At 39.9% G+C, this 14,219-nt stretch overlaps 1 protein-coding gene across 1 annotated transcript in view, besides 3 other annotated features; it reads right to left on the bottom strand.

Annotated features, from left to right (window-relative positions):
• Positions 1-9,348, bottom strand: part of ATF3 (activating transcription factor 3) — a 55,371-nt gene extending 46,023 nt beyond the window's left edge. The window contains exon 1 of the mRNA NM_001030287.4: positions 9,272-9,348. The gene's annotated coding sequence lies outside the window, so the exon portion shown is untranslated. The remainder of the gene's footprint in view (positions 1-9,271) is intronic.
• Positions 5,338-5,507: an enhancer, noted in NCBI's record as "experimental_3744 CRE fragment used in MPRA reporter constructs". NCBI's record gives its function as "activates a minimal promoter by MPRAs in K562 erythroleukemia cells, with activity observed for both the introgressed and non-introgressed 1:212742675 variant alleles {active_cell/tissue: K562}" and the evidence as "EXISTENCE:reporter gene assay evidence [ECO:0000049][PMID:34662402]".
• Positions 7,247-7,296: an enhancer, noted in NCBI's record as "active region_2508". NCBI's record gives its function as "activates an Ori minimal core promoter by ATAC-STARR-seq in GM12878 lymphoblastoid cells {active_cell/tissue: GM12878}" and the evidence as "EXISTENCE:reporter gene assay evidence [ECO:0000049][PMID:35858748]".
• Positions 7,747-7,856: an enhancer, noted in NCBI's record as "active region_2507". NCBI's record gives its function as "activates an Ori minimal core promoter by ATAC-STARR-seq in GM12878 lymphoblastoid cells {active_cell/tissue: GM12878}" and the evidence as "EXISTENCE:reporter gene assay evidence [ECO:0000049][PMID:35858748]".

Here is a 14,219-nt window from a genome sequence, read left to right as displayed (position 1 = left end):
TCATGAGACTGGGACAACTGGTTATCCATATGGGAGTAAGTTAAATTAGATTCTCACTCACATCAGCCATAAAGATTAAAGACACAGATGTGAAAGGCAAAACTTTGCAACCTTGAGAAAAAACAATATATAGGAAGATACACTCATTATCATCAAGTGCAGAAATATTTTATATAAGATACAAACATACAAACAATAAAATAAGAGGGATATATTTGATTACATTAAGAGAAAAAAACTATGTGTTAAAAAAGACAACACAAACAAAATGAAAAGATATTATAGAACAGGAGAAAGCATTTGTGATGAATATACCAAAATGAGAGATATTTTAAGAAACAAAAATTATATAAGCTTGATTATTTGATCACAGTGCAGTATAACTAGCTATTAATAATAGAAATTAAAACAAAAAATCATTAAATATAAGGACAGAAAATTAAAACAGAAATTAAAGTATAAGAACATAGCAGTTAGAAGATAATTAAAATAAGAGCACAATATATCAAAAGGTATGAAATATTGTACTAAGAAAATATGAAAATATGAAAGTTGTACTAAAAGTTGAAGTTACAATCTTATTTGTTTTTATTTTCAAGGAAAGGAAAAATAAAAGCATTCAACCCAAGGGTTTATAAAAACAACAATGACAACAAAATCCCTAAGAAATCAGTAGACAGAAAAGACTAAAGGCAAAACCAAAACTAACTGAATTAGGATATAGGAAAACTTACGGAATTAATTCAAGAGCACTTTTTTTAAAAAGTAATAAAGTAGACAAATATTAGAGAAACTAAAGAAGAAAAAAAAACCCTATGAATAATAAAATTAGAAATAAAAAGGGGAGGTTCAGCACCAGATAAGGAGGAGATATTTTAAATATAAGACAATACTTTGCAAAATTATAAATTATAAATCTGAAAACCTAGATGAAATGAATAGTCTGAAAATATATACATTATCAAAATTAGAAGTATAAAACCTACATATGCCAATCACGGCTGAAGAACTTAGAAAAAAAGGAAAGATTTCCCTCCAGGAAAAAAAATGTGTCTAGGCCTAGAAAACTTTACAGGAAAAAAATCTTTCAATTCTTAAGGAATACGTAATCACTATGTTTCAGTAATTTCAAACATTGACAAATATGGAAAATCTATCTAATTTACTTAACAGAGATGACCCTGATATAAAACCCTGAAAAAGACAGCTCAAAAAAAGAAGATAATAAACCTATCTAAATTATGAACATAGAAAAGAAAATCCAAATTCAGATAACAGTATCAAAATAACCCAAGGAGGGTTTAATCTAAAATAAAAAGATTTTATGTTTTAAGATCTTTAAAATCCAATAGTATAATATATTACATCCACAGGCTAAAAAAGAAAATCCAAATAAGATTCTCAATTAATGCAGGAAATACATTAGAATTCAACAGCTGGTCCCTATTAAAAAATAATTACAAATTTAAGAACTTTTATTAACATAACAAAAAGTGTTTATTTCAAACAGTCAAAGTCATCTTTAAGGATGAAATACTAAGGCAATATTATTAAAATCAGGACCAAAACAAAGATATAGTTTGTGGCCATTTTTACTAAATTTTGACCTGAAAGTTCTAACCAATGAAATAGGGCACTTATAAAAATAAGATGCACAAACACTGGAAGGGAGAAAATAGATTTGCAATTACTTGTACATGATATAATTACATTCCCGGAAATTCAAAAGAACAATTCAACTAAGAATTATTAGAATCGATATGAGAGCCCAAGAAAACTGCTAAATATAAAAAAGACACAAAAGCCAAGTACCTTTTGTATATACAAATTGTCTGTATAAAAATTTGTATGTAGAAATTTGCTACATTGCTTTTCTATATAGAACTATTATCCAATTAGAAAATACAACTTTTAGAAAAGATAAAATGACAACAGCAAATATCAACAATGATGACATTGGAAACTTCTATGGAATGCCTTGGAAAAGCTATAATGAGAATGCGAAGGACCCGTATGAAAAAATTATAAAATGCTATTGGGAAATGCAGGTTTGAATACTAAGCTTTATGGCAACGAAGTCAGTGCTTTGCAAATTAATTTGAATGGTCAATATAATTTCAATAAAAATCTCAATAGTATTCTTTTCAGAATTTCACAAAATCATTCTAATGTTCAACCAAAATAATAATTAAGTATGAACAGCAAATAAAATGTTTTTTGTTTTGTTTGGTTTTTGAGACTGAATTTCACTCTTGTTGCTCAGGCTGTAGCTCAATGGTGCAATCTCAGCTCACTGCAACCTCCGCCTCCCGGGTTCAAGCCATCCTTCTCTGCCTCAGCCTCCTGAGTAGCTGGGATTACAGGCATGCGCCACTATGCCCAGCTAATTTTATATTTTTAGTAGAGATGGGGGTTTCTCCATCTTGGTCAGGCTGGTCTCGAACCCCCTACCTCAGGGGATCCGCCCGCCTCTGCTTCCCAAAGTGCTGAGATTACAGACGTGAACCACCACGCCCGGCAACAAAGAAAATGTTGAACATGAAAAGGAATGATGAGACTGGGGCCTTGCCAGCTCTTAAATCATTTTTAAAAGCAAGTATCGATAAGAGTATGGAACTTGCAAAAGAACAAGTGTAAAAATGTACATATCAAGACATAGAATAGATATTCTGAGACCACTGTACATATGAGAACTTTATGGTAAATAAAGCATCACAAATTAGCAGAGAATAAAAGTATTGGCGGCCGGGCGCGGTGGCTCACGCCTGTAATCCCAGCACTTTGGGAGGCCGAGCCGGGCGGATCACGAGGTCAGGAAATCGAGACCATCCTCGCTAACATGGTGAAACCCAGTCTCTACTAAAAATACGAAAAAATTAGCCGGGCCTGGTGGCGGGCTCCTGCAGTCCCAGCTACTCAGGAGGCTGAGGCAGGAGAATGGCGTGAACCCGGGAGGCGGAGCTTGCAGTGGGCCGAGATTGCACCACTGCACTCCAGCCTGGGCGACAGAGCCAGACTCCGTCTCAAAAAAAAAAAAAAAGTATTGGCTGGGCGCGGTGGTTCACGTCTGTAATCCCAGCACTTTGGGAGGCCAAGGTGGGTGGATCAACTGAGGTCAGGAGTTCAAGACCAGAAGAAAATGGCCAAAATGATGAAACCTCATCTCTACTAAAAAATACAAAAACTAGCCAGGCGTGGTGGTGGCTGTAATCCCAGCTACTCAGGAGGCTGAAGCAGGAGCATTGCTTGAACCTGGGAGGCGGAGGTTGCAGTAAGCTGAGATCGCACCACTGCACTCCAGCCTGGGCAACACAGTGAGACTCCCATCTCAAAAAATAATAATAGTAATAATAATAAAAGTATTATTTAATGCATTGTTCTGGGTTAACTGATTATTTAGAAAAAAATTAATTTAGAGATTTACCTCAAATCATAATCAAAATAACTTTTGATGGATAAAGAGATATAGTTAGATGTAAAATACATACACATTAAAATAAAATAAAGAAAAACCGGAAGCACATGAAAAAATGTTCAATAACTTTATCAAGGGAATGCAAATTTAAACTACAATAAGCTACCACTGCACACCCAACAGAATGGCTAAAATAGAAAAGTCTGACAACACCAAATGTGGACAAAAATTTGGAGCAACTGAATTCTCATGCATTGTTGGTGGGAGTGTACAATGGTATAACACCTTTGGAGAAAAGGCTGGTAGTTTCTTATAAAATGAAATATACATCTATCCTATGCCCAGCAATTCCACCCATAGGTATTTATCCAAGAAAAATGAAAGCATATGTCTATAAAAGGACATTTACAACAATGTTCATAGTTTCATTATTCATAATGGCACCAAACTGGGGACAGCCTAGGTGTCTATCAATAGAGGAATAAATAAACTGTCATATAGACATACTATAATGAAAGCTTACTTTTAGTAACAAAGACACAAATTCCTGAAGCTCACCAACACAGATGAATTTCAAAAACATTATGCTGTCAAAGAAACCTTATGCAAAAGAGTTCATGCTGTGTGACTCCATTCCATATAAAGGTCAAAAACAGACCAAACTAATGATGAAAAAACTAAAATCTGTGGTTGCCTATATGGGTAGAGTAGGAGTGAGGACCAGCTGGGAGAGAACACGAGGGAGCTTTCCGGGATGATGGTAATTTCCATTTTTTAAAAAAGTCTATAGATATGATTTATATAACACACTTATTTAAAGTGTACAATTCATTGTTTTTTCGTATCCTCATAGATATGTGCAACCATCACCTGAAAAAGTCATACCCTTTGAGTTTTATATCTTGCTAGGCATATGCATCTGTCATTTGTCAAAACTTACTGAATGATCCATTTAAGATTTGTGCATTTCCCTGTAATTACATAAAATATGGAAATTTTACCTTTAAAAGGCTGTTTTCTATTAGAAGAAAATATGAAATAATTTTAAAAGTTCTAAGTGGAAAAAGTAATTCTCCAGAAAAAAAAATTGACAGATTCGATTGCTTTAAATCTTAAAATCTCTCTGTGCCAAAAATATATAAATATAACTTACATTCAAATGTAAATGTCAAGCCAGGGAATTATTATTACTTTAAAAAAATAATAGATAGGGAGGTCTTTGTTGGTATATTTTACATATTATAAAACATTTTAAATCACTGCAGATATTAAGATTCCAACAGATGTACAGGCAAAGGCTCTGAACAGAAGATTCATAAACAGAAAATAAACCTGTTAACAAACATGTGGAAAATTTCTTTGTGTCTATAGAAATTAAAATTACATCAAGAGCAACATATATCAAAGACTATGATTCATATATTATTTGGTTTATTTATTTTTGAGAAATATGTTGATTCTTTTTGAGGAAATATATTTAAAGTAAATAAGAATTGCCATGAACATAGATTTAGCTACAATAATGTTTATTACAGTACTATTTACAATATTGATGAATCAGATATTACCCAAATGTTTAACATAGAGTATTAGTAAGGTAAACTACATTAAAAAAATTACATTAATTGGAACTCCTGTACAATCATTAAAAATTATGTTGTAGAAGAAGAAGAATTCTTATGAGGTGGAAAGAATGAAGTGGGAAGATGTTTACATTTCGAGTGAAAAAAAAAAGCCAAAAAAAAATTTACTGGTTCTATTACACTAGCTCTTTCCCCTGCGTCTCCACTGTGGACACACAGGCATTGAGCTTCTGTCTACTGTCTCCTTTCTCTTCTCCCCATTTTCCTTTGGAAGCCATTCCTGTCTTTCATCCTAGTAAGGAGGAAATAGGCTCGCATTAGAAAAGTGGAAAAATGAAAACAAGAAGGGTGTACAACTCTGTTCTGGTTAACTTTTTTATTGGGGAAAAAGTATTGCCACTATTAAAAATTCGAAGTCAGAAAGTGTATATGATGAAAAGTCTCTCTACCTCGTCCTAGGCTCTTTAATCAGTTTCTCTTATCTCTTTCCAGACATACTTTTTAGAAAGACGTTTACCAAAAGCAACAAAGAAACAAATGAAACACAAGATAATAAAAAGAAAAGAAGGCAGGGAGGAAAAAGACGGAGGGAGAGATGGGAAAAGAGGAAAGGAAGAAAGAGTAGAAGAAATAAAGAAAAGGGTGCCAGGGGAAAAATTCAAATAAGTTTATTCTGTAAGGGCTCTAAACAGCCAATGTTTATTTTAGAATATATGTTAAACATTTAGATCCTTCAGCAACCTGCTACTAACTTAAAAACCCTATTAAATTAATATTAAATTTACAAGTATTTTTAAAATAAATAAACCAGGATCAGAAGTAAGGAGCCTTTTTACTTGAGATGCCTTAAGGAATAGTCACCCACACCCAAATTAGGATGCCGGTCCAACAAACATTAATAAACCTACAGTAACGACGGAGTTGGGGAGGTGAAATTATGACTGTGTTGGACAGGCAATTTTGAGAGAAAGAGAGCAGTGGAGGTTTAGACATTAGAAATGCCCTAGCCTGTATTTACCCCCATCGGAGAATCGGCCTAGGACAGAAATACCAAATGACAGTCACCAGGAGGACACACTAAATTTGCTTTCTGGCATCATCTTCAAATATTTGGGATGGGACCACAGATCCTGACTCTCCTTAATGGCCATTTTGGATTGATTTGCCATGAATGGACTGGCTTAAATTTACTACTTGAAGTAAGCCTAACAATAATTATTAATGGGTCCAGGAGGAAGAGATCACTCAATACAAGTAGTCCACAAAAACACGCCTGAGCCCCTTAGTTCAGGGTAGGTCGATGTTTTTGGTGTGCTCTTTCTCTGGGGCTCCTTTTTCCATGATGCAAATGTGGAGCATGCAAAGGATATATACTCAAGAGACGAGGCTTAATAAAATTGTGTTGGTCATTAAAGACATTCTTAAGTAAACAGAAATATTTTTGTGTGTAATTCAGCTTGGTAGCCCCAAAATAATAACCAATTTGTTTATGAATAACTTATGTATAAGTGAATGTATAATTAGTTCATGATTTTTTTCTTAACACATTAAAAAAATTATTGACCACTCTCCATGTGAATGACACCTTGCTAGATGCAGTAACAAACCACAAGAGCAGAGCTCTGGCGTTTATAGCTTTTATCTCATTCATTAATTCTGCAAATACTTACTGAGCACCTTCTATGTGCAGGCTCTAAGTTAGAAACTGGGGCTATAATAGTCGGCAGACCCTGTCCCTACCCTACAAAAGTTCAAGGCTCTTCTTCTGACATAGGCAAAGAAAGTGTTATTAATATTCTCATTATGAGATGAGGAAATTGAGGCATTCCCATTCCAATATTCAGTTCTGGAACAGGACTGGAGCCCAGTTTTTCTCTCCTGAGGTCTAAATACTTGGCACACTGCACTCCACGGCTCTCAGAACTTTTCCCATAATAATGAGACAAAGGAGCTTTAAGAAGACATTTCCCAGTCCCCCTCCCCATGGGCTTCTGCCCCCATCTTTAAAACTGGGGGAAATGATTTTTGTCCTTGTTCCTATTTTAGAAGCAGCAGCACAACCTTAGACTATTATTATAATTATTAACACCGGTAGCATTATAAAAAATAAATAATTTGCTAAGCTCTTTAAATCCACCTTTCCCTAGAGTTGAGTAAATGGAAAATAAGCTATAAAGACATTTTTTTCCCTATAAAAAGATCAGACATCAAGGCATTCAGATAACAATGCTAGATCTGGATTGGTCCTCAGGGAACTCTTAAGTTCACCTGCCTTTCATGACATCTGAATCCTTTGCACAGAAACAGAGACAAGAGAGAAGGGCTGTTTTTCCTGAGAGCATTTTCTTATTTCTTCACTCATTGCAGCTGTTAACAGCAGCTGGTTTCTTGAGTGTGCTGAAATGCCCACTGCCGTGTAAACACTCTCTCTAACACCCTGCATTACTCATAGTTTGAAAATCACTTTGACTTCTGAAACATAATTATGTTAATGTCAGATGAGTCAGCAGGGGGACAGCATGCTGCTCCTACGGCAGCTGCACCTCCTGCCAACCTCTGAACGTCTCAGTGCCTGGGGCTTCAAAAAAAAAAAGAAAAAAGAGAGAAAGAAAGAAAAAGAAAACCCCTTTCTGTGGGCGGGAAGAGAAATTATATTTATGGCTCAAAGAACAGCTTCAAAGAAGTGGCCAATTTCGCTTTCGCTGCAACATGAAAGGAAGAGTTAAGTAAAATCGCTACCCCTAGGTTAATCTGTTTATGTGAAGAATAAACAGGAATTTGGAGACTTTCTCTAGGGAATCTGTGACTTTCCCTCAGAGATGGCTCGAGACAGGTCACTCTGGTCACTGTTCAGTTGTGATCCATTACTCGCCGTACGAGGTTTTACTTTCCCAGGAAGTGATGCCAAGCAGTGCAGGAGGTGCATCCTCTTGGGCACCAATAGGAACCAGGAGGCTGCTCAATTTTCAGGGGTCCCCAGACCCTGGATGGGCTTCCCAGCGCGTGCTTTGCTCCAGCAGCATGACCCCCTCAGACACTTTTGTGAGCTGTTTTCAGCGTCATTTATAACCTCTCAACTGTTTCCCCTTCCTCGGCTGCTGGGAAAGGAACAGGAACTGAGCAGGACAGGGCAGGAGGTTTCTATGGCACAGCTGACCGTGACCTCCACCCCCTCTATGCCCTGGTCACAGTTCAACCTGCCAGTAACCCCAAACATCACCCCTCAGCCTGCCTTACCCCACCTGCCCTGTCCAAACTCAGGGTGTTGCTTTACATCCACATTGTGCCTCTGAAAAGGCTCTCAGCTTCATCCTCACTGATGTCTCATAATAACCCATATTTTATAAATGGGAAAATTGAGTTTCAGAGAAGGGGTGTCCTTGTCCAAGGTCGCACAGCAAATGGCAGAGCCAGACACTCAAACTTGTGCCCTTTCTGGTGTGCCAACAACAGAACCACAGATCCACACTTAAAGGACAGAAGAGGACTAGTGGGGCTGGAAGAACCCCAAGTGCACATGTTTTTACAGATGAGAGGAGTAACCAAAACTTAAAGAGAAACAATGACTTGCCCAAGGTCACACAGCTTTTACTTGGCAGAACCAGCTGCCAAACAAGATCTCCTGACCCTCACTCCAGGGCTTTTCCTCTCTAACCTCTTTACTTCCTCACTCTGGACTTATTCCAGTTTAAACACAGGAAGAACCAGCTCTCCCCATATCCAGCCCATATCCAGTTAACCTATCCATGTTACACTGCTGATACAAAGCATTCTATTCCCAAAACACAAGGGCCCCAGAACAGGCAGGAATGTCAAGGAGGAGAACACACTAGAAGGAAGGGGTTAACCAACTCCAATGGCTTCCCATTATGAGTAATCAATGCCCTACATTGACTACAGCACTGACTAGTGGTATCCCCAAACCACGGTTTCATCCTGGATGAGACCGAGATGGCATCGCTGCCTCACTGGGATGCCACAGGTCGTCCCACAGGTGTTATGTAACCTGCAGAGGGGTCAGTAAAAAACTTAATCCAACCTAGAGATTCTGCAGCACCCTAACTCCAGGACTTTTCGATCCCTATCCCTCAGATCACTTCATTGGGTACCATATGCACCGAACTGCTCACTTTCCCACCCCTCTTCTGGGTGGCACCCACCCAGCAGGGCCACAGTGGGTACTCCCCCAACTGGAGGCTTCCTGACCAAACACCTTTCTCCTGTAACATTTTTCCCACTTAGCCCCAAAGCCAGAGAAAAAGTCAAGACTCACATTTTGGGGCAAGGTGCTGAAAATCCTTAGGAAACAGCAGAGCATCCTATATAGAGGAGGATTTCTCTTCTTGTCACATCTTCCCATCTGATCCCATCCAATTTATCCTCAAGGCATGGTTGGTCAACTGAAGCTAACCCCACCTCCGCCCCACAAAGCAACCAACAGCTGTTACTATATTGAGTGGCCATATGATGTCATATCATAGGTGACTAACCCACCGAGGCTTCCCTTCGAGCCATCATCTAAATATGACAGCCTTCCATCATCCTGACCTTTTCACGGGAGAAAGCTGAGTGAGGGGCTTGACACTGATCTGGGGCTCCAGTGCATGTCTGGCCTTCTGTAGCCAGCACCTCTGGGGACACACATGAGCAACTGAGGACACACATGCCCCCATGCACAGATTCCTTTCCTAGTAGAAGACACTTTCACCTAGTAGAAGACAGCTTTCTTCCCCTGGCTGACTTTGAAAATAGTAGCCATCAGAAGAGATAAGAATCACAGTCATAGGGAGGAACGGGGAGGCCTGTATATATTTACCATGCTGTATATCCAGGTGCTGGATTAGATTCTTTACATACAGTTTTGCATTTAGTTCTCAAAACACTCTGAGGAAGGCATTACAATCTCTATAAAGTTAGAGAAACTAAGATTAGAGGGGTAAGTAACTTTCCCCAGGTTACAGGGCTTGGCTCAGATTCCAGCCCAAATCTATGTGACGCTACAGCGGAATGAACTCTACAGAAAGGTGTTACCACATCACTTGGCTTTTTTAAACATCAACTTTATTGTGTAGAACAGTTTTAGATTGACAGCAAAATTGAGTGGAAAGTACTCAATTTCCCATATACTTCCTCTTCCCACACTTGTATAGCCACCTCCTTTATCAATAGCCCCCACCAGACTGGCACGTTTGTTACAATCAATTAACCTAATTAACAAATTATTAATACCTGAAATCCATAGTTTACACTGGGGTTCACTCTTGGTGTTGTACATTCTATGGGTTCGGGCAGATTTTTAAATACAAGTATCTACCATTATCGTATCATACAGAATAGTTTCACTGGCCCAAAAACCCTCTGTGCTCCACCTGTTCATCACCCCCACTCCTCAACCCCTGGTAACCACTGATCTTTTTAGTCTCCATAGTTTTGCCTTTGCCAGAATGTCATATACAGTCATTCGTCACTTAACAGCAAGAATATGTTCTCAGAAATGTATCGTTAGGTGATTTCATTGTTGTGCCAACATCATAGAGTGTACTTACACAAACCTAGGTAGTATAGCCCACTACACACCTAGGCTGTATGGTATAGCCTATTGCTCCTAGGCTACAAACCTGTATAGCATGTTACTGTATTCAATACTGTAGGCGACTGTAACACAATGGTAAGTATTTATGTATCTAAACGTATCTAAACATAAAAAAGTTAATAGGTTGGCTGGGTGCGGTGGTTCACGCCTGTAATCCCAGCACTTTGGGAGGCTGAGGCAGGCGGATCATGAGGTCAGGAGTTCGAGACTGGCCTGGCCAACATGGTGAAACCCCATCTCTCCTAAAAATACAAAAAATAGCTTGGCGTGTTGGCAGGTGTCTGTAATCCCAGCTACTCAGGAGGCTGAGGCAGGAGAATCGTTTGAACCCAGGAGGTGGAGGTTGCAGTGAGCTGAGATTGTGCCATTGCACTCCAGCCTGGGTGACAGAGTGAGACCCTGTCTCAAAAAAAAAAAAAAAGTTAATATGTTTTACTACTATGTTATGACAACTATATCACTAGATGACAGGATTATTTGAGCTCCATTATATCTTTTTGTTTGTTTTTTTGATTTTTGTTGTTGTTTGGATACAGAGTCTCACTCTTGTCGCCGAGGCTGGAGTGCAATGGTGCGATCTCAGCTCACCGCAACCTCCGCCTCCTGGGTTCAAGCTATTCTCCTGCCTCAGCCTCCCAAGTAGCAGAGATTACAGGCATGTGCCACTGTGACCAGCTAATTTTTGTATTTTTAGTAGAGACAAGGTTTCACCATGTTGGCCAGGCTGGTCTTGAACTCCTGACCACAACTAATCTGCCTGCCTTGGCCTCCCAAAGTGCTGGGATTACAGGTGTGAGCCACAGCTCCTGGCCCATTATATCTTTTGGGACTCCTCTCATATCCGCGGTTCATTATTGACTGAAACGTCATGTGGCATATGACTGTATGTCCATGTGTTTTCTATCCAATTACCACACAGGTTTATCTTTTTTTATTCCATCCATTCATACATCCAATATTTATTGAGCACCAAATAAATGGGATGAATGTTTGTGTCTCCTCCAAAATTGTATGTTGAAGCCCTAACCCGAAGTATAATGGTATTTGGAGGTGCAGCCTTTGAGAGATCATTAGGTTTGGATTAGGTCATGAGGATGGTGCCCTCATGATGGAATTAGTGCCCTTAGAAGAAGAGGAAAAGACAGGAGAGCTCTCTCTCTCTTCACAGGCACACCACCAAGGAAAGGCCACGTGAGGACACAGCAAGAAGGCAGGTGTGCAACCCAGGGAGCCGGTCCTCACCAGACACTAATCTGCTAGCACCTTGATCTTGAATTCCCCAGGCTCCACAACTGTAAGAAATAAATATCTGTTGTTTACAACACCCAGTCTTCGGTATTTTGTTATAGCAGCCCAAATTGACTAAGACAAGCACCTACCATATGTTGATCTTAGATAACAAGTCCTTAGAGGACATTGAATCTGTTTAGGTAAGTTTCTGCACAGAGTTGCACCCATTACAGCACCTAATTCCATTAATAAATGCTTCCCCCGCCCCTCATCTTCACTATGACACTTAAAAACAATTTCTGGCCAGGCGTGGTGGCTCACACCTGTAATCCCAGCACTTTGGGAGGCCAAGGTGGGCAGATCACCTGAGGTCTGGAGTTCGAGACCAGCCTAAACAACATGGAGAAATCTCGTCTCCACTAAAAATACAACATTAGCCAGGCGTGGTGGCACACGCCTGTAATCCTAGTTACTCGGGAGGCTGAGGCATAAGAATAGCTTGAACTCGGGTGGCAGAGGTTGCGGTGAGCTGAGATCATGCCACTGCACTCCAGCCTGGGCAATAAGAGCAAAACTCCATCTCAAAAAAAAAAATTCTTTAAAAATTGAGATGAGGTCTCACTATGTTGCCCAGGCTGGTCTCAAACTCCTGAGCTCAAGCAATCCTCCTGCCTCAGCCTCCCAAAGTGCTGAGATTAAAGGCATGAGCCACTGTACCCAGCCAAGAGATACTTTTTGATTGGGGTTGGGGAGAGGTGGGTGAGGGGATAAACACAAAGATAGTGAGTGACTGAAAATATGAAGCCTGTGAGGCCATCTGCATGAATAATTATCATCAAACTATAATATAATATTTGTTATGTATAACAATATAGATATCAAATTATTGTGATTATTATAACAAACCATTATGCAGCACTTCCTGTGTTTTAGAATTAAGTGTTTTTACATAAATGGTAAATCTACTTGTTGCCTGAAAAGGCTGTACAGGCTGAAATATAAATAGAATAAAGAAAGTTTCAAATAAATTCCTGGAGGGCAGATCCAGAACAAGTTATTAAAGTGGAGTTAGAAATAATCAGGGTGCATTCCTAACCTATGAGAATGATGTCACGAAGGGCAAGTGCCACAATCCAGTCCAAGCCATGGTAGTGTCTCCATTGGAGGCACAGCTCATGGCCATTACTAAGGAGTTACTATGGAACTGGATTCCAACAGGGACCCCTGAGCTTCCTGCATGCAGGGAAACCCCTCCACCTCTGTCAGGGCCCAGGCTATGTGTGTCTCGCTGCCCCACAGCTCTCCCTCCGCAAAAGTGGAGCTTTGCTTTGTGTCACACAGTGAGTCACAGGCACAGTTGGAAACTGACCCAGGATTCCTGTTCTTTTGCTTGCCGGGGCTGTTTGCCGGAGATCACAATCCTTCCACATTAGTGGCCAGTTACATTTATGGCTCTTAATGACATTTAATGGGGCTTCTGGGATAAAGAAATGATGGAGAGTAAAGACTGGACGATAAAAAATTAAAACTGAAATGACACACAAGATCTTTATTATTGAAGGTTTAAAAATGGCGATCCACTTCACCGTGTCATTCCACTGGGAAATGATTCCTGGGTCTGAGGAGGAACAACTCCTCACCTGTCTTCAAACAAGGTGGGAGGGAGAAGCAAAGAGGAAGTGGGAATAGCTGGTGGTCATCAGAAATCGTGATCTCCAATTCTTCCCTATGATTTCATGTCTATATTTACTTCATGTCATTTGTCTTCCCTTCCATTGTATATATGACATGTTCCCATTTGCCGTGCATGTTCATTTTGCCATGCATGTTCATGCCCTTTGTCCTACCTGTGTCTTGTAACAGTAGTGTGTGTGTGATCCATGGAAAAGAAGCAGGCTGGAAGTCAAGTGACTAGAAATCTCTACCCCTAACAGGCCATGGGACCCCGGGCAGGCCACCTCACCTAGACCTTAGTTATAAAACAGGGACTTGCCTGGTTGGCCTGGAGGTAGTACACCGCTCTAAGTTTCCGTGTGTGTGTCCACCCCCAATACAGAGGAAGAAGTTCCTGTCCCCACAGAACCCCCATCCTCCCCACCCCCAACAATACCTGAGGCTGCTAGCGGTTTTCTCTCCTGGGGAGCACACACAAGGTGTTTGGTCACAGGCACTAGGAAACCTGTAAGAACAGGAAGAACAGCGGGCAATGCTTCTATCAGCATGAGGGGCAGGAGCTGGGGACACCAAGGAGAGAGCTTGCTGGTGGCTGGAGACTGGGGAGGGGAGAGGAGTCAGCTCTAAATATCTCCCAGAAGTGAGCTGGAGGCGGAAGGTGCTTCTGGTACACCTGACATGTGTAGCCTGAAGAGGTGGCTGCAATATTTAGCCAAGTACCAGT

The sequence above is a fragment of the Homo sapiens genome, chromosome 1 (genome assembly GCF_000001405.40).
Source record: "Homo sapiens chromosome 1, GRCh38.p14 Primary Assembly".
Classification (NCBI taxonomy): domain Eukaryota; kingdom Metazoa; phylum Chordata; class Mammalia; order Primates; family Hominidae; genus Homo; species Homo sapiens.
Note: the sequence above shows the minus strand (reverse complement) of the source record. Positions and strands in the feature narration are given on the sequence as shown.